We start from the raw sequence: 20,325 nt of genomic DNA on the forward strand, positions 1-20,325 counted from the left end.
ATAGAGAATAATTATTTCCAGAACCCATGGAATATTGACCAAAAAATTATAGCATAGTAAGCAGCCAAATATACATAAATCTCTTAGGCAAAAATTTCATAGTCCACATTTTCTGATCAAAATTCAATAAAGAATAACAAAGTCTAAATTTTAAAATTTGACCATTTAGAGATTGAAATTATTTCAGTTAGTTTCTCCCAAATGTTTTCCCCCAAATCAGTGCATCAAAATAAGCAGGAAATAAGCCTAAGTACCATATTCCAATCTTGCTCAAGAGTTAACAGACGTAAGTGTAAAGGAGGCCAAGAATTCCTGCCAAATTCTCCATTCCTTCATTGGGGCCAAAGTCTACTACCATAGACAGTTTACAAGGCACAGGAACAGGAGAACAATATTTTTTCTTTTTTGAGACAAAGTTTTGCTCTTGTTGCCCAGGCTGGAGTGCAATGGCGTGATCTCAGCTCACTGCAACCTCCGTCTCCCAGGTTCAAGTGATTCTCCTGCCTCGGACTCCCGAGTAGCTGGGATTATAGGTGCCTGCCACCACCCCCGGCTAATTTTTTGTATATTTTGTAGAGATGGGGTTTCACCATGTTGACCAGGCTGGTGTTGAACTTCTGACCTCAGGTGATCCACCCACCTCGGCCTCCCAGAGTGCTGGGATTACAGGTGTGAGCAACCGTGCCCGGCCCAAGAACAATATTCTTAAATGGTTTTCTTGACAACCAGGCTGCAACTGGTGGGCCACTCTTCATGTGCATCCAGCAATTCCCTCTCTGTGAATGAAAAGCTCTTTCACAGGGCCAACCCACTGGAAAAGACCAAATAAGGATCTATTCCAACACTAAGTACAAACACACTAGAAAGAAAATACCTCACATTACACTGCCCGACAGGAGGAGATCCCAGGGATTCACTTTATAGACTGTATTACACCAAACAAACCTGAGAAATCCAACGTCACTAAGAATTGTAAAAAATTTCAAAAGACCATGGTTTAGACTCAATATAATCATGTAATTCGAAATATGGAACAACTATTTAAAAATGTCATATAATTGTAGTCCAATATCAACACCAGGGAAATTGACATTGGTGCAATACTGTTAAGACTAGACTTTATTCATGAAAACAACAGGTGCTGGAGAGGATATGGAGAAATAGAAATGCTTTTACACTGTTGATGGGAGCGTAAACTAGTTCAACCATTGTGGAAGACAGTGTGGCGATTTCTCAAGGATCTAGAACTAGAAATACCATTTGACCCACCTATCCCATTACTGGGTATATACCCAAAGGATTATAAATCATGCTGCTATAAAGACACATGCACACATGTGTTTACTGTGGCACTATTCACAATAGCAAAGACTTGGAATCAACTCAAATGTCCATCAATGATAGACTGGATTAAGAAAATGTGGCACATATACACCATGGAATACTATGCAGCCGTAAAAAAGGATGAGTTCATGTCTTTTGTAGGGACATGGATAAAGCTGGAAACCATCATTCTGAGCAAACTATCACAAGGACAGAAATCCAAACACCGCAAGTTCTCACTTATAGGTGGGAACTGAACAATGAGAACACTTGGACACAGGGCGGGGAACATCACACACTGGGGCCTGTTGTGGGGTGGGGGGAGGGGGAGGGATGGCATTAAGTGAAATACCTATTGTAAATGACGAGTTAATGGGTGCAGCACACCAACATGGCACATGTATACATATGTAACAAACCTGCACGTTGTGCACATGTACCCTAGAACTTAAAAGTATAAAAAAAAAAAAGACTATAGACATTACTCACTTTTCACCAGTTTTTACATGTACTTGTGTGTGTGTGTGTTGTGTAGTTCTACACATTGGATTACATGTATATATCTGTGTAATCATCACCAAGATACAAAACTGTTCCATCATGACAGAGAAGCTCTTTTTTACCACCCGTTTATAGTTGGACTGCCTCCCTAACACTGTGCCTGTCCTCTGGCAACCATTCAATTGTTCTCCATCTGTATACTTTTGTCATTTTGAGGATGTTACATAAATGGAATTGGGTGATATGAAACTTTTAGAGATTGGTTTTTTTCACTACGTGAATCCACCCAAGTCACTGCATGTATGAAAACGGTTTGTTCCTCTTCTCTTGATAGTAGTATTACTTGGTATGAATGTACCACAATGTTTAATCATTTACCTGCTGAAGGACATTTAGGTTGTTTCCAGTTTTAAGTAGAAATAAGGCTGATATACACATTTGTATACAGGTTTTTATGTGAATGTAAGTTTTCACTGCTCTGGAATAAATGCCCAAGAGGGCAATTGCTGGGTTGTATGGTAAATTCACGTTTAGCTTTATAAGGAACTGCCAAAGTATTTTCCAGAATGACTATACCATTTTACATTATCAACAGAAATGATGTATGATACAGTTTCTCTACATCCTTGCCAGCAATTGGTGTCATCACTATTTTTTATTTCAGCTGTTCTAATAGCGTGTGGTTTTAATTGCATTTTCCTAATGGCTAATGTTGCTGAGCATCTTTTCATGTGCTCATCTGCCATCTGTATGCATATCCTCTTCAGTGATATGTCTGTTTATGCCTTTACCCATTTTCTGATCAACCGTCTAAACTTTCTACTGTTGGGTTCTCAGTTCTTTACCTATTCTATATGTCTTTAGTCAGATATGTGGTTTACAAATATTTCCTTTCAGTGTGTAGCTTGTCCTTTCATCCTCTTCACAGGGTCTTTTGCAGAGCAAATATTTTTAATTTTAATGAAGTCTAACTTGCTCTAGGTCCCAAAGATTTTCTCCTGTTTTTTTCTTACATTTTACATTTAACTTGTGATTTATTTTTAATTAATACAAGATACATGATTTAGGTTGATTTTTTCAGCTTATAGAATTTCAACTGGTCCAGGACCATTTGTTTAAAAAAAAAAAGTCTCTTCTTCCGCCATTTAATTTGCATGTGTTTTTAACATCAAACCCACTCCTATCTGTCTTCAGTTCTGGGAAATTCTTTGACATTATCTCTTCAAATATTGCTTCTCTGCTATTCCCTTCCTTCTCCACTTCACATGTGGGAGCCTTTGAATCTTTCCTTCATGTCTCTTCTCTTTCATTCTTTGTACCTCTTTATCTCTTTGTACTATATCCTAGGTTGAATTCCTCAGTATCAACTGTCCTTCAGCTCATTCTCTCTTGAATTGTGACCAGCCTAGAGTTTATCCCAAAGTATTTTTTACTTTAATAATTGTATTTTATATTTCCAGTACTGTACTTTTAATTGGTTCTTTTCTAAATTCAAATTTGCTTGCTTTTGTTTCATAATTTCCTAGAAGTGAAACATGAATGTTATTCCTTCCTTCATCTGTTTGGTGAGCTTAAACATATTTATTTGAAATTAATTTTCAGACTGCTTTACTATATTCTGTTCCCAAATTCATCTCCTGATTATTGTCTGTGTTTCTTGGTACTAGCTATCCTCGTGTGCTTTGGAATTTTAATTTGCTGAGCTCTTCTTGAATGAGAACCCTTGCTTGCTCTCTCCCTCCACTCACTGTCAGTGCTTTTACAGATATTGCCACCACCCTCCACCCTCATCCAAACAGAGGCCTCCAGACCAGAACCAGGTCTTACACTGATAGTTCAGGGTTCCTGTAATACTAGGGATAACATAAACCCAGCCATGCCACAGTCAGGTCCTGGTTGCACTGCTCTCTCTATTCCTTGGCACCCCAGAAACACAACTTTAAATGAGCCACAGACCCAAGCAGCCTTGTTCAGCTTCTTTTCATAGGTATGACAGTCTCACTCCAGCTTCTAGTTTCTGTCATTTCCTCTGGTCCCCGTCCAGGGATGCAGTTCCTTTGGTCCCATACCCTCATGTAGTATTTCCCACTCTTTTTGACACCATGACATATGGAGAAAATAACAATATTTGCACAGTACACAGCTAGATGGATGAGACTGTTCCCTCACCCAGGAATGATTGGCTGAGGGCTCTGATCATCACCCATGCCCTGACTAGCTGCCCTGAAGCCTGAGAAAAATCAGTATGTCATACACTGGTAAACCCATCCACAGCATGCTCTAAGGACAGTAATACCCTAAAATAATGGACTCCTAGCACACTCTGCCTGTTTCTGTAGTTGGTTCTATTTCTAGTCCACCAGGATGCTTATCTTGTTATTAAAGTACAAATATGTTAATAGCATTTCATTTACTATTATTATGTATTTGGAGCAGAATATAGAATTTAAAGCATGAACTTAAAGGTCTATCATAACCATGCTTTTCCCTCTGTTGGAATGCCCTCCTCTCAACCTCTCTACATGACTTTTTCCTACTGCTCCCTCAGGTATCAGTTTAGATGTCATTTAATCAAGGGAGATTTTCACGACTCCATTTTCACCCCCAAATGTGGGGTTAGATCTCCTTGTAAGCACCTGATTTTGCACGTAATTGTATTATATTGTTATTACCTATTTACCTTAAACAGAAAGGTCCCTGATGGCAGGAACTGCCTCTTTCATTTCTGTATTTCCAGATCTAGCACAGTGCCTGCAATAAGTACAAACTCAATAAATATTTTCATTTCACCTATAACAGAGTTCCATGGTGGAGAGGATAATGTAATAGTGAAGAGATGGAGCTCTGGAGTCAGAGATTGTTGGGTTTTAATACTAATACTACCACTTATTATGTGACATAAGAAAGCTACTTAGTCTCTCTAAGTTAGTTTCCTCATCTATAAGATGTACATCACAGTTCAATTCCTATCTCTGTTACTTACTAGTAACCCTGGGCAAGTTCCTCTCTTGATTTCAGTGCCTGCCCTAAGTAATGTTTTAAGAAATTACATCAAAGGCTGGGTGCAGTGGCTCACGCCTGTAATCCCAACACTTTGAGAGGCCGAGGCGGGTGGATCACGAGGTCAGGAGATCGAGACCATCCTGGTTAACACGGTGAAACCCCGTCTCTACTAAAAATACAAAAAATTAGCTGGGCGTGGTGGTAGGTGCCTGTAGTCCCAGCTACTCGGGAGGCTGAGGTAGGAGAATGGCGTGAACCCGGGAGGCGGAGCCTGCAGTGAGCCGAGATCGCGCCACTGCACTCCAGCCTGGGCGACAGAGCAAGACTCCGTCTCCAAAAAAAAAAAAAAGAATTACTTCAGACAACATCGATAAAGTCATTTGTTCTGTGACACCTTTTCCTGTTTCCTTGTTCCCACTTCATGCAGAAAAGGGAGGACCTCACAGCTCACCCTTGAGGTGTGCCGCTGACTGAACCATTTTCTAAGCCTAGGTGGCATCTTGGTGAAAGGCTTTCTCTGCCACCAGAGCTTTGTGTCCACAACTTACTCAGGCAAAGTGGAGGGCAATGTCAATAAGAATTTGAAAAAATCATTTTATGTGTCATACTAAATTTACCTAAAGAAATTTAATATACCTAAAGAAAAATAAAAACTAACTGCTGACTGGATCATACTAACTCTGAAAATGTGAAAGGGGAAGAGAACATCTCCATGAAAATCCTTCTTTTGAGATGGAGTCTTGCTCTGTCACCAGGCTGGAGTGCAGTGGCGCGATCTCGGTTCACTGCAACCTCTGCAGCGATTCTCCTGCCTCAGCCTCCTGAGTAGCTGGGATTACGGATGGCCACCACCATGCCCGGCTAATTTTTGTATTTTCAGTAGAGAAAGGGTTTCACCATGTTGGCCAGGCTGGTCTCAAACCCCTGACCTCAGGTGATCCGCCCACCTCAGCCTTCCAACGTGCTGGGATTACAGGTGTGAGCCCCCGCACCCAGCTGAGAGTCCATTTTTAAAATGAAGGCATCTACTACATTTTGCTGTGTTCTAAACCCTACTGCTGGAAAGAACATGTAAAACTAGAAGAGAATGCCTGTCAGAAACTCAAGTAGGGGAGAGGCAATGCAGCAAAGCACTTTAAAGTTCAAATTATAATGCCGAGGCATAGAGAGGCTACTCTCAAGCACTACATTTTAAATATAATTATTTAATGAAGAACAGAGCCTAGTGACTGAGAGAAAATTAGAACCATTAACTGATAAAGAAAACTAAAATTCGGACCAAAGGTTCTATAGAAGGCAGAAGGAAATAATGCAAAAACCTTGGCATCAAACAGACCTGGAATCAAATCCTGACTCTGCCATCTCTCACTGTGCAACCTTCAGCCAGTAACAGCTCTGAACCTGAGCTTCCACCACTGCAGAATGAGGATCATTACCCTCACCTCCCAGGGAGCTGGGAGGATCAAATGAGATTCCAGATACCAGCTACAAAGTGCCCAGCCCAGTGCCCAATGCATGATTGGTGCTCAACAAACATCAATCCCCTCCCGTTCCCTTCCAGGTTGCTTATTAGCAGGGATCATAAAAGGGTTTGGAAATTACTAAAAATCCATGTTCTCATGTCTGTAATTCACAAACTTCTAAGTCTATTTTGCAAGCTGATTCTCTGAGATGCACAGGCGCGAGACCTGGTGAGCACCCAGAGCTGGATCAGTGCAGAAGTGTGGTTCCAGGCCAATGCCTAGAAAGACTAACCAGCCTAGAAGACACCTTGGGTGGCCAAAAGACCACAAGAAACTAGAGCAGCCAAAAAGAGAATGGATTACTTGAGCTTCGGCTCCCGTCCTTCGCTTGTATACTGCCAGCAGATGAGCCCGATCAGGTCCTGCACCCTGGCGCTGGCCATTGTCACCACGGTCATTGGCAGCAGTCTGTCCTGGCTCGAGTGCAGAGGGAGGTAGACATCGATCTTCTTGGTTGCTGTTGTACCTACATGACCCTGTGGACAGAACAAACACGTGAGAGCAAAGCACACTGCCAGTTATACAGACCCCACTGCTCTCCAGGCCTGTGGGCAGCACAGCCATTTTTCATCCTTGCTCTACAGACCTACTGTGACCATGGAATGGTCCCAAAGTGGAAACACTGTCTAGTTTCAAGGATTTTTTTTCCTTAAATTTTCATTTTATAATAAACTAATGGATCGGGATCTGCCAGCAGGAAGGTAAATGGGCACTACAACTAAGAGGAAAATATGAGTGGTGAGTAGAGTTCATGTTTGGTGTTAGGAGGCTGGCTTTGCTACTAACTCAGTGTGTCCCTGGACCTTAGCACTGGGTGCCTCTCTGGCAACTGTCTCATTGTCCTTGAGACAATGAGATGAGCTGCCTGGGAAGCTGTCATACTCTCCCAGGAAGGATTTAGGCCCGCAGCACTGAAACAGGTGCTTGCCTTCTCAGAGACTGGGGGCTAGTTCCACTAGGCAGTACATCTGTTTCCTTCACTACCACACAGGTTCAAGGGCCCTTTGATCCTCCATTATTGCCCTAACCACCAACCCCACACTGCTGGATATATTCCCACTCCCTCCCACACACCTACCACTCCTCCCACCTGCGTCTTCCACTCTGCCCTCAAGAGCTGCTGCGCTAATCAGCAAACACCCATAAATCCTCAGCTGCTTTTTAAAACGATTTCCTCTACCTCTTGGACTTCACTGAACCTGCTGTTGAGGATACTGCCTCCTCTGCTGTCCTGTTAAAAGAGGACTGCTTTGTTGTTGTTTTTTTTTTTTATAACCCCTGCACCCTCAAGGCATGCAAGAGTAGGTATCCTAGTCCCTGCTAACACTTCCAATCTAGTACTTTCTCTTTTGTGAAAAAAATCCTTGTTCTCTTGAGACCCAGGCCATCCGATGACACCATCCTCTCTCCCTCCTTTTGTGTTTCTGTTATCCGCCAACCTTCTGGCCATTCCCCTCCCTCACAGAAGGCTTGCACACTGGCTCAGTCTTCCTTCCCACCCATGCAATATGTTCACCACACAGAGTATATAGAAAAGTGTCACAGAAAACGAGTTCAAATCGGAATGCTTGATTGTCCCTCACTCCCTCCTATCCCAAGTCACAACAACAACCCCTCTTATTTTAATAATATGTGCTGCCACCACTAAGCCAGCTGCTCATCTCAACAGTCTTGATGCTTCTTCCTCCCTCACACTGCCTATCTACTCCATTAGGAAGTTCTAATGTCTCTACTTCAAAAATACATTTCAATGGGGAACGTACAGTCTTTTCAACAAATGATGCTGGGACAAGTGGATAGCCACATGCAAAAGAATGAATTTGGAGTCCTGCCTCATACCACATAAATATATCAATTCAAAATAAATCAAAGATCTAGATGTAAGAGGCAAAACTATAAAATTCTTAAAAGGAAACAGGTGTAAATCTTCATGACTTTGGATTAGGCAACGATTTCTTTAATATGACACCAAAAGCATAAATAACAAAATAAATAAATTGAACTTCATTAAAATTAAAAACTTTTGTGCCTAGGCCAGGCGCAGTGGCTCATGCCTGTAATCCCAGTACTTTGAGAGGCCAAGGCAGGGAGATCACTTGAGGTCAGGAGTTTGAGACCAACCTGGCCAACATGGTGAAATCCCCTCTCTAATAAAAATACAAAAATCAGCTGGGCGTGATGGCAGGCGCCTGTATTGCCAGCTACTGGGGAGGCTGAGGCAGGAGAACTGCTTGAACCCAGAAGGCAGATGTTGCAATGAGCCAACATCATGCCACTGCACTCCAGCCTGGGCAACAGAGGGAGACTCTGCTCAAAACAAAAACAAACAAACAAACAAACAAACTTTTGTGCCTAAAGGATACTATCAAGATAGTAAAAAGACAATCAAAAGAACGGGAGAAAATATTCACAAATCATATATCTCATAAGGCTCTACTATCTAGAATACGTTAAGAAGTCTTATAATTCAATAAGAAGACAAAATTTTTTAATGGGCAAAGATTTGAACAGACATTTCTCCAAAGAAGATACACAAATGACCAATAAACACATGAAAACTGTTTCATATCATTAACCATAATGTAAATTACTTCTTACTCACTAGGGTGGCTATAATTTAAAAAAGGCAAAAACTCCAAACAACAACCCAAAAAACCCCAAAAATAGCAAGGATTTGTGAGGATATGGAGAAACTGAAATCCTCAGACACTGCCAGTGGGAATGTAAAATGATACAGTCATTGTGAAAATGTTCGGCAGTTTCTCAAAAATGAAACACAGAATTACCATATGACCAAGCGATTCCATTCCTAGGTATATACTCTAGAGAACTAAAAACATATGCTCACATTGAAACTTGGACAAATGTTCATAGCAGTATTATTTATAATAGCCAAGGAATGAAAAACACCCAAATGTCCACTAACTAATGAATGGATAAACAAAATCCATACAATAGAATATTATTCAGCCATGAGAAAGAATGAAGTACTGATACACACAGCATGGGTGTACCATGAAAACATCATGCTAAGAGAAGGAAACCAGACATGAAAGGCCACTACTGTATGAACCCATTTATATGAACTGTTCAGAACAGGCAAATCCATAGAGACAGAAAGTAGATTAGCGGTTGGCAGAAGATGACGGGGTGGGAAATTGGGAGGTATGAGGTTTCTTTTGGGGGTGATCGTAATGTTCTGAAATTGGCAGTAACAGTTCATAACATTGTTAATATATTAAATACCACAGAACCGTACACTTTAAAATGGTTAAAATGGTAAATTTTATGTAATGTTTTATCTTAAGAAAAAAAGTGAAAAATATGTATTTCAAAACCATCTCACTTCTATCTCCACTGCCACCAAAATTACCATCAGGTCTCACCTGAACTATTGTAACAGTTCCCAAATTATTCTACAGTACTCTTGTTTCATCTGATTTGTTCTCTACACACAAGTTAGATCTGTTTTTTAAACTCACATTTGATCATACCATATCCTGTTTAAATTCCTTCGATGAGTGGCTCCCAAACACCGTGAACAAAATCCAAACTCCCTGCAACATCCAACAAAGCACCACATGATCTGGCCCTGTCTACCTCTTTAACATCATCCACTGCCACTCCTCCACCTGCTCATCAGACTTCGGCTATACCGGCCTTCTGGAAGTACCCTCAATATACCAGCACGTGTGCCTGTGTGTACCTTGCTTGCATTTCTCACGTCCCAGGGCTTAGCAGGTGCTGTTCACTGTATCTAGAGAGGCTCTTTTTCATGGCTTTGCATGCGTGACTCCTCATCCTCTAATGTGTGCCCTTGGGAGGTTACTTAATCTCTCTATGCTTCTGTTTCCTCATATGTAAAATGAGGAGAATGGTAGGACCTACCTATCATAAGACCCTTATGAGAATTATTATTACTTATTATTAATTATTATTATACAGGGCTCAGCTGTCACTGTTAACACTCCTTTTGCAGTTATTCTCTCACACATGTCCTGTTCATCTCCTTCAGAGCGCTTAACAATTGAGATGATTTATTTATGTACATCTTTAGTGTATGCTTTCTCCACGAAGTTTCCTCTGAACTTCCTTGAGAGCAATGTTAACGTCTGCTTTGTTTACTGTTCCATACATAATGCCTGGCCCTGTACCTGGCACACAGAAGACCCTGAGGAAAAAATCTGTTGAACTACAGAATGAATTTATGAATGACTCCAGTGCCTGCCAGGACACGTAGTAGGAACTGAGTAAATGTTAGTTTTCTCCATCCCTCTTGCCCTTCCTCTATGGATCCATTTCCTGGTCATAGGTGAAAGTGGAGGGACTTGAGCAATCATGCGGTTCCATCTTTAACTCTATAATTCTATCATTCTGAGGTGAAAAAGGTCAGTACAGGGAAAGGAAATTATAAAGTCAGTTTAAAAAACATTTTTAGAGTAATTCCACTTTGCACACAACCCAGCATCCATCATTAGATTGACTGATTTTATTCCCTCAGCCTCATCTGTATGTTACAAAGCAACTACCAAAAAAATAATTCTCCTACATAATGCATGCACCCACACTCGCTGTCCCTCTCTTGCACGTGTGCACTCTCTGTCTCGTATGCAAACACACGTGGGCAAGCACACATTCCCTTGTGTGGTTTTCAGCTCTGAAATAATAATTTCAATGGCTAACAAAGACTTCACTAAATAACAAGTGTTTTGGCCTTGTCGGGCAGGCAAAGGGTTACAATGCAAACAGTGGGAATCTTTCTGGAGTCGGTTGATAGCCCTCATATTACCCTCCTTTTCAGACCCAGATCAGTTGCTTGTCATTGCTCTCTCTTTTTATTTCTGTTTATTCCTCTTCCTCTGGAAGCACTAGAACTAAGGAGCTATAGGATTCACAGTCTCTCAAGATATGAAGATTCAACGAGATGACAAATGTGAATGTCCTTCATAAACTGTAAGATGCTTTAGAGATGCAGAGCAGTATGCCAGAAAGGGCGTCTGTGTTGAAATTCGACCCATTTCTATTACTCAAGCTTACTACAAGGTCACATGAGGCCAAGAACGGGTACTGCAGGAACACTAATAATACTGACTATTGTAACAAGAGCTAGCATTTAGGCCAGGTGCGGTGGCTCACACCTGCAATCTCAGCACTTTGGGAGGAAAAGGTGGGTGGATCACCTTGGGTCAGGAGTTCGAGACCAGCCTGGCCAACATGGTGAAACCCCATCTCCACTAAAACTACAAAAATCAGCCGGGTGTGGTGGTGGGAACCTTTAATGCCAGCTACTGAGGAGGCTGAGGGAGGAGAATTGCTTGCAACTGGGAGGCAGAAGTTGCAATGAGCTGAGATGGCGCCACTGCACTCCAGCCCGGGCAACAAGAGTCAAACTCCGTCTCAAGAAAAAAAAAGGGGGGCGGGGCATAGGGCTAGCACTTACTGAGAGCTGTTAAGTAAACTCTGCTAAATGTTTGCCTAATTATATCATTTAATTCATACAATAACTCTAAGAAATAGGGTTCTATCATAACTTTTTTTTTTTTAAACAGTCTCGCTCTGCTGCCCAAACTGGAGTGCAGTGGCACAATCTCAGCTCAATGCAACCTCCACCTCCCAGGTTCAAGCAATTCTTGGGCCTCAGCCACCCAAATAGCTGAGATTGCAGGCATGTGCCACCACACCCAGCTACTTTCTGTGTTTTTAGTAGAGACAAGATTTTGCCATGTTGGCCAGGCTGGTCTCGAACTCCTGACCTCAAGTGATCCGCCCACCTCGGCCTCCCAAAATGCTGGGATTACAAGCGTGAGTGACTGCGACCTGGCGTAACCTTTATATTATAGCTGAGAAAACCAAGGCTTACAAGGCTACAGTCATCTGCTCAACACCCAATAACCAAGGTGGAAGAGCCAAGACTCAAACCTCATGTCAGCCTGACTCCAAAGGCCCTACTGTAAACACCAACGCCTTCTTTCCCTGGACTTACTCTAAATGTAATCAATTCCTACTCTTCAAGGCTTGAAAATCGTCTCCCTCTTCTTTTCCCTACAAACCTGAGGAAAGCTTTGCCTGAGGAGCTGCTCGAGGAGAGCAGTTAGGAGATGGAGACTCCAGGAAACCCTGCCACTGTCAGTTGACTGAAGGGCAGTCACCACTGTTTAGGAAATGAGGACAGATAGTTATATGGTACTCATATGAGTAACACAGAGTATACTCCTCTATTTACTCTAAAGAGTACAGTACTCTTTACTACCCTCTATTTCATAGTAAAATAGAAAGTGGGGCAAAAACTATCGGAATGAATATGATAGATACTTATTAAATGAATGAAGCACTTTATCTTTTTAATCTTCTAATTCCATCTTGAGGAAATGATGATGGGAAAAGTGCCTTGCACACTGAAATTACATATTTTTTAATAAGGAGACTGTCTTCTGAAAAAGCTCAAGGTGGTGGCAGTTAGCTCTATCCTAATAGTCCCTAAGTTGCAATATTTAGAAGGAATCATCTAAAACATAAAACAATCCATCAACATAATAGAAAGTAATTAACTTATTTAAAAAAACGGTGACCGAAGGATTAAAAGTATTCATTACACATCAAGGCAAGCAATATTCCATAGATGTCTAAATATGAAAAAGCAACTAGCAATAAACAAAGATCATATCATACAGTTTCACTGCATGGCAATTTACGTGTTCCACCATACAGGACTGGGGAAATGGAGGCATATTTAGAGCACAGGGAAGCGGGCAACACAGAGAAAGTGTTGCCACAGGGAAACTGGCTTAGCTTTATGTTCTCATTCTCTCATGCATTCAACAAACACCAGCTGAAACATGATGCTGGGCTCCGAAGACAAAGTCCACTGACATACAATGCAGACCAGACCCTCATCAAACTGTTTTGCTGAAGGTCTCACTGTACAATGTCACGAAAGTTTTAAGAAGGGGAAAGTCCAGTCTGTCAAGAGAGCCCAGAAGCAACCCAGGCTAAAGGGGGCTAGTGAAGGCCTCTTAGATATAAAAATGTACCCTTCCATGCAACAGAACCTTAACCAAGAAAAAGATGCTTATTGTATTTACCTACTATACCAATACACCAAAAGGTGAGCAGGAGTTCCCTCTGAGACACGGGATTATCAGTGATTTTAATTTTCTGGTTTATAGTTTTCTGTATTTTCTATAATAGACATGTATTACTTTTATAATTAGAAACAAAATTGTAAATATTATAAACTAAAAAGGAGATAAAAAGAATAAGAGTACCATTCAGGGCTTAAAAGTTTTAGGTGAGGGAAAGAGAGGATCGATTTCAAAAATGTAGCCTGTGTTAAGGGATCAAGTAGGCATCATTAAGAACATACTATGTGCTGGCCAGGCGCAGTGGCTCATGCCTGTAATCCCAGCGCTTTGGGAGGCCGAGGCGGGCAGATCACGAGGTCAGGAGATCGAGACCATCTTGGCTAACACGGTGAAACCCCGTCCTACTAAAAATACAAAAAATTAGCCGGGCGTGGTGGTAGGCACCTGTAGTCCCAGCTACTCAGGAGGCTGAGGCAGGAGAATGGCGTGAACCCTGGAGGCGGAGCTTGCAGTGAGCCGAGATAGCACCACTGCAGTCCAGCCTGGGCGAAAGAGCGAGACTCCGTCTCAAAAAAAAAAAAAAAAAAAGGAACATACTATGTGCTGTGACAGGCTGTTGGAAAAAGTAAGTTGAAATATAACTCAAAAAAAAAAAAAGAAAAAAAAGAAAATATAACTCAGGGCTGGGCATGGTGGCTCACACCTACAATCCCAGCACTTTGGGAGGCCGAGGCGGGCAGATCACCTGAGGTCAGGAGTCCAGACCAGCCTGGCCAACATGGTAAAATACAAAAATACTAAATATACTAAAAATACAAAAATTAGCTAGGCATGGTGGCATGTGCCTATAGTCCCAGCTACCCCAGAGGCTGAGGCACAGGAATCGCCTGAACCCAGAAGGAAGATGTTGCAGTGAGCCAAGATCATGCCACTGCACTCCAACCTGGGTGACAGAGTGAGACTGTCTCAAAAAAAGAAAAAAATATATATAACTCAGATACCTTACTATGGCAGGTTAAGTAATTTTTATCAAAGAAAAAGAAAAGGGCAAGGCACAGTGGCTCAGGCCTGTAATCCTAGCACTTTGGGAGGCTGAGACGGATGGATTGCCTCAGCTCAGGAGTTTGAGACCAGCCTGGGCAACACAGTGAAACCCCGTCTCTACTGAAATACAAAAAATTAGCCAGGTGTGGTGGCGTGCGCCTGTAGTCCCAGCTACTTGAGAGGCTCAGGCAGGAGAATTGCTTGAACCCGGGAGGCAGAGGTTGCAGTGAGTAGAGATCATGCCACTGCACTTCTGCCTGGGACAGAGCGAGACTCTGTCTCAAAAAGAAAAAGAAAAAAAAAGGTAATAAATTCACAATCAGCTGACAATTTGAAGTTGAACAACATTCTCCAGAGCAGCTCCTAAATCAGGAAATGCCCCCAAGGCAGGTTTGAGAACAAACAGAAAAGTACTTCCTATAGCAAAACTTTCTTGGCACAAATGCAACTCATGAGGACCAACTAGACTCAACTTCATATCCCACAGCCTCTCCCTGACCTGATGGCTTTGCAAATGCAGTCAGAATCTGAAATTTAACATATCCAACACCAATTTTCTTCTTCACTGGCATGTCTGTCATTCTATACTCTATCTCAACTAAGGCTTTCACCATCTACTCTGTCACGCAAGCTAGGAATCCTAATTCCTCTTTCTGTCTCACACTCTACCATCCAAATGCCTCTGAAATGCCTCCCAAATCTCTCTCCTTCCCATGCTTATTGCCAACGCCCCAGTTTAGGCTTCGTCAGCTTTGTCATCTGTCAGCGAGACCACTGCAGCAATCTCCAACTATTTCTTTATTTTTAAAAATCCTTCCCCTCCAAATCTTTCTTTCCTTATTGCCACCAATGTGATTTTTCTCAAATCACAGACCATGCCAGTCATGTGGAAACACAGGATGGCCTAGTGGTAGCATTCCAACTCCTTAGGTGGCAGTTAATGCCCTTTGCAATCTGGTCCCTCATATCATTACTGATGTACACTGAACAGTAATTAAGAGCACAGACTCGGGGTCAGCTAGGCCCAGGTCGGAATCCTGGCTTTACCACTTCCTTAGCTGCTAGACCTTAGACTTTGGGAAAGTAACCTCACCTCTCAGAACTTGTATTTACTCACTTGGAAAGCAAATAAGATGTATCTAAAATGCCTGCCACAAAGTCACTGATCAAGAAACATAGCTCTTCTTCTGTCCTTCAATTCAAATATCACCTCTTCCAAGAAGGTAGAAGACGAAATAAATTCCCTCTTCTCTCCTCCCCTAACAATTTGATTTGCACAGACTTACAGTTTCACTTTTTTCTGTAACTACCCTCACCACCTCCTTCCCCACACTCTCTCATTCAGCTGTGAATTACATAAAGGGAAAAATAGCCTCATCCATTTTGTATTCTCTTAGAGCCTAGAACACAGCAGGGGTTTCATGCTAGCTGGCTAAATCAAAAGGACTCCTCAGACTCTCTTTCAGAATGGACCCACCGGACCTACCAATTCTCTATCCCAGGTAGAGCAGCTATACCTTTTCTACTTCCCAGCCCCTGTTCTTCAGGAACACTCTTTCCTCTCTGAAATATCCCCAGCACCTAACAAAGGGCCCGACATAGTTACTTACACATACTGATGGAATAAATGATTAATATTCTTTTAACACATGATTTAAACACTTGCATTATATTATAGCATATGGTGGTACCACCTATTCTCCCATTTTTAGAAATGGAAGCTGTTTACAATATTCCATTATTATAAATAATCTCATAAACATTTTCCTATATAAATGTGAAAATATTTCTAGAAGTAGATTACTAAGTCAAAGACTATGAATGTTTTGTAACTTGTGATATATACTGGAAAAGCTCAGTCTTTTAAAAAGTGTCTCTAGGCCAATTATGAAATATCAATACTATGAACCAAAGGTTACCCAATTAATAATTAGCTCATAAAATGGGTAAACTTAAAAATCTAAAATAACTTCTAATACACAGAATGTGAACAGATATAGAATTGAAATGTATGTATTTGAACATGCTGATGAATTAAAACATTATCTAGAGCAGCTTTTCTCAGCTGATCCTATTAATTAAAATAATATACATTAGCTGCTTATCATAAAATTAATTTCAAAATCATATACCTGATAGTTTCCAAAGTAGGAGAAGCAATAAGAATACAGATGGGATTCAGTTCAAAATAATCTTGAATTAAGAAATATCATGCTATGTTTGTCAGCTTACTCCTTTCTGCCTGTGGACACGCCAAGGAAGCATCGTTAAAGTCTCTCTTCTCCCTGCCGTCCTAAGTCAGAGTCTCCTAAAGAGCCGGAACAGCTAAGGAATCTCTTCATTGGAGGGTTGAGCTTTGAAACAACCAATGAGAGCAAGAGGAGCCATTGTGAGCAATGGGGAACGCTCCCAGACTGTGTGGTAATGAAAGATTCCAACACCAAGCGTTCCGGGGGTTTTGGGTTTGTCACCTATGCCACTGTGGAGGAGGTGGATGCAGCCATGAATGCAAGGCCACACAAGGTGGATCGGAGTTGTGGAACCAAAGAGAGCTGTCTCAAGAGAAGATTCTCAAAGACCAGGTGCCCACTTAACTGTGAAAAAGATATTTGTTGGTGGCATTAAAGAAGACACTGAAGAACATCACCTGCGAGATTATTTTGAACAGCGTGGAAAAACTGAAGTGATTGAAATCACGACTGACCGAGGCAGTGGCAAGAAAAGGGGACTTGCCTTTGTAACCTTTGATGGCCACGACTCCGTGGATAAGACTGTCATTCAAAAACACCATACTGTGAATGGCCACAATTGTGAAGTTAGGAAAGCTCTGTCAAAGCAAGAGATGGCTAATACTTCATCCAGCGAAAGAGGTCGAAGTGGTTCTGGAAACTTTGGTGGTGGTCGTGAAGGTGACTTCGGTAGGAATGACAACTTTGGTCATGGAGGAAACTTCAGTGGTTGTGGTGCCTTTGGTGGCAACCATGGTGGTGGTGGATATGGTGGCAGTAGGGATGGCTATAATGGATTTGGTACTGATGGAAGCAATTTTGGAGGGTGGTGGAAGCTACAATGATTCTGGCAATTACAACAATCAGTCTTCAAATTTTGAACCCATGATGAAAGGAAACTTTGGAGGCAGAAGCTCTGGCAGCTATGGTGGTGGAAGCCAGTACTTTCCCAAACCACAAAACCGAGGTGGCTATGGCAGTTCCAGTAGCAGCAGTAGCTACAGCAGTGGCAGAAGATTTTAATTACTGCCAGCAAACAAAGCTTAACAGGAGAGGAGAGCCAGAGAAGTGACAGCGAAGCTACAGGTTACAACAGATTTGTGAACTCAGCCAAGCACAGTGGTGGCAAGGCCTAGCTGCTACAAAGAAGACATGTTTTAGACAAATACTCATGTGTATGGGCAAAAAACTCGAGGACTGTATTTGTGACTAATTGTATAACAGGTTGTTTTAGTTTTTCTTCTGTGGAAAATGTAAAGCATTCCAACAAAGGATTTTAATGTAGATTTCTTTTTTGTACCCATGCTGTTGATTGCTAAATGTAACAGTCTGATCATGACGCTGAATAAATGTGTCTTAAAAAAAAAAAAAAAAAAGGCCAGGCGCGGTGGCTTATGCCTGTAATCCCAGCACTTTGGAGGCCAAGGCGGGCAGATCACGAGGTCAGGAGATCGAGACCATCCTGGCTAACAAAGTGAAACCCTGTCTCTACTAAAACAAATACAAAAAATTAGCCGGGCGTGGTGGTGGGCGCCTGTAGTCCCAGCTACTTGGGAGGCTGAGGCAGGAGAATGGCGTGAACCCAGGAGGTGGAGCTTGCAATGAGCCGAGATCGTGCCACTGCACTCCAGCCTGGACGACAGAGCGAGACTCCGTCTCAAAAAAAAAAAAAAAAAAAAAAAAAAAAGCTTGGCCTGGTGGCACATGTCTGTAGTCCCAGCTACTCAGGAGGCTGAGGTGGGAGGTTCACTTGAGCCTGGGAGGTTGAGGCTGCAGTGAGCTATGATTGAGCCCCCTGCCCTTTGGCCTGGGCAACAGAGCAAGACCCTGTCTCTAAAAGAAAAGAAAAAAAGAAATATCCATATCAAGTGAGTTAGCTGAATTAAGTCTTACAGACTAAAGGCTTGGCTAGCATTGCTATTTAATATCAAGGTTTCCCAGTAATAAATTGAGTATCAGATCTAAACTGCTGCTAAGTGTTCAGTTTCTCTCCCAAGGAAAAGAAACAGAGAAAGGATAGACAGCTTAGCTTCTGCAATTAAAGAGACAAAAAGCAGGCAACATTATTCCATTAGTAACAACTGCACAAGCAGATCATTACGTGTAATTTTAATGCAGAAATAAATATATCAGTGTATCCAGACGATGTAATGATGCAAATTGATAAAAGAGTTATTTGCAGCCTTCAAAAGAGCCATTCTCTGAAAAGAATGGCTACAGTTCTATTCCATCAGTACCTTTATCCCAACTTCCTCAAGAAGGACCAAAGGATGCTATATTCTACCAATGGTCTTGTCTTTAATAACATAGTAGGCAGACTTGGTACAGGGGTCTCAAATGAGCACTACTCTAATGATAATTAATGGACTTCATTTGATCAGAAGTAATAATCTCAAACAAAATCTGGCCTAAATTGGTCTAATTCAGGTTTTACGGGCTATGGGAAGTAAAGAGGGTCGACATGAGAAAAAAAAAAAACAAAACCCAAACACCAGAATTGTAACATTTTGATCTTAATAAAATTCTGGCTTTATGGACTCACAAAAAGAACTTTTTTTTTACATTCAAAATGGTAATACTGAATTTATAAATGGATTTTGTGTAAAATTCTATGACAAATCCATTCAGAGATAGGGGCTTGGCTTTGTAGTGCTATCTTAATCTTCAATAAATCTGGAATGCTTAAAGGCTATTAAATTAACATTTCCCTGATCTGGTACCTGTAGTCAAATTAATTTGTCAAAAACATTTCTACAGTTTGTCACTGGACACTGTATTTTCTGACAAGTTAAGCTTAAAATAAAATTGACAAAATCTCATTAATTTCCTCTGAATCACCAACCTTGGTTCCATTAAGCTTTTATTATTAAGAACGTCAACTGCCACTCTTTCTTTAACAAGGTCAAGTTCTGATCTGGGTACCTCCAGGATCCTTGCTATAACTAATAGAAACTAGGGAGGCAGTACAGTGTGATTAAGAGCACAAGTCGGGGCATCAGATAGATCTGAGTTCAATTATAAGCAATGCCACTTACTATGTGTGCCTGGACAATTTATTTAAGCTCTGTGAGTCACTATTTTCTCACATACAAAATGTGGATAATAAAAGTACCTCCTTAAATAATTGTTGAGACGATTCAATAAGACTGTACGGGCCGGCGCAGTAGCTCACACCTGTAATCCCAGTACTTTGGGAGGCTGAGGCAGCTGGATCACCTGAGGTCAGGAGTTTGAGACCAGCCTGGTCAACATGGCAAAACCCCGTCTCTACTAAAAATACAAAAAATAGCCAGGCGTGGTGGCAGGCACCTGTACTCCCAGATACTCGAGAGGCTGAGGCAGGAGAATCACTTGAACCCAGGAGGCGGAGGTTACAGTGAGCCAGCACTGCACTCTAGCCTGGGTGACAAGAATGAAACTCCGTCTCAAAAAAAAAAAAAAAAGACTTCATGTAAAGCACTTATTACTGTGCCTAGTCCCACAGTAAATGCTCAAGAAATACTGGTTATTATGATGTTTTTTCCTACTTTTTATCTACTTTTATATCAATAGACTTAAAAAAAAATATTGCTGTTCATAGACTTTTGAAACTACAAGAAATCTGAAGGGTCATCCCCTTTG

General features: G+C 41.5%; 1 protein-coding gene and 1 pseudogene across 6 annotated transcripts in view, besides 1 other annotated feature; one reads left to right on the forward strand and one right to left on the reverse strand.

Moving 5' to 3' along the window:
• The window catches only part of MAPKAP1 (MAPK associated protein 1), a 269,815-nt gene that overhangs the window by 141,508 nt on the left and 107,982 nt on the right, over nt 1-20,325 (reverse strand). For all 6 annotated transcript variants that reach the window (NM_001006621.2, NM_001006620.2, NM_024117.4 and 3 more), the window contains one exon: nt 6,654-6,826. In NM_001006621.2, the coding sequence (NP_001006622.1) occupies nt 6,654-6,748 (95 nt within the window). In that variant the 5' untranslated portion in view covers nt 6,749-6,826. The remainder of the gene's footprint in view (nt 1-6,653; nt 6,827-20,325) is intronic.
• Nucleotides 8,249-8,748: an enhancer, noted in NCBI's record as "H3K4me1 hESC enhancer chr9:128349429-128349928 (GRCh37/hg19 assembly coordinates)". NCBI's record gives its function as "activates a minimal SCP1, AML or CMV promoter by ChIP-STARR-seq in primed H9 embryonic stem cells {active_cell/tissue: H9 hESC(primed)}" and the evidence as "EXISTENCE:reporter gene assay evidence [ECO:0000049][PMID:30033119]".
• HNRNPA1P15 (heterogeneous nuclear ribonucleoprotein A1 pseudogene 15) lies at nt 16,692-17,924 on the forward strand (annotated as a pseudogene).

Source organism: Homo sapiens, chromosome 9 (assembly GCF_000001405.40).
Source record: "Homo sapiens chromosome 9, GRCh38.p14 Primary Assembly".
In the NCBI taxonomy this organism is placed as follows: domain Eukaryota; kingdom Metazoa; phylum Chordata; class Mammalia; order Primates; family Hominidae; genus Homo; species Homo sapiens.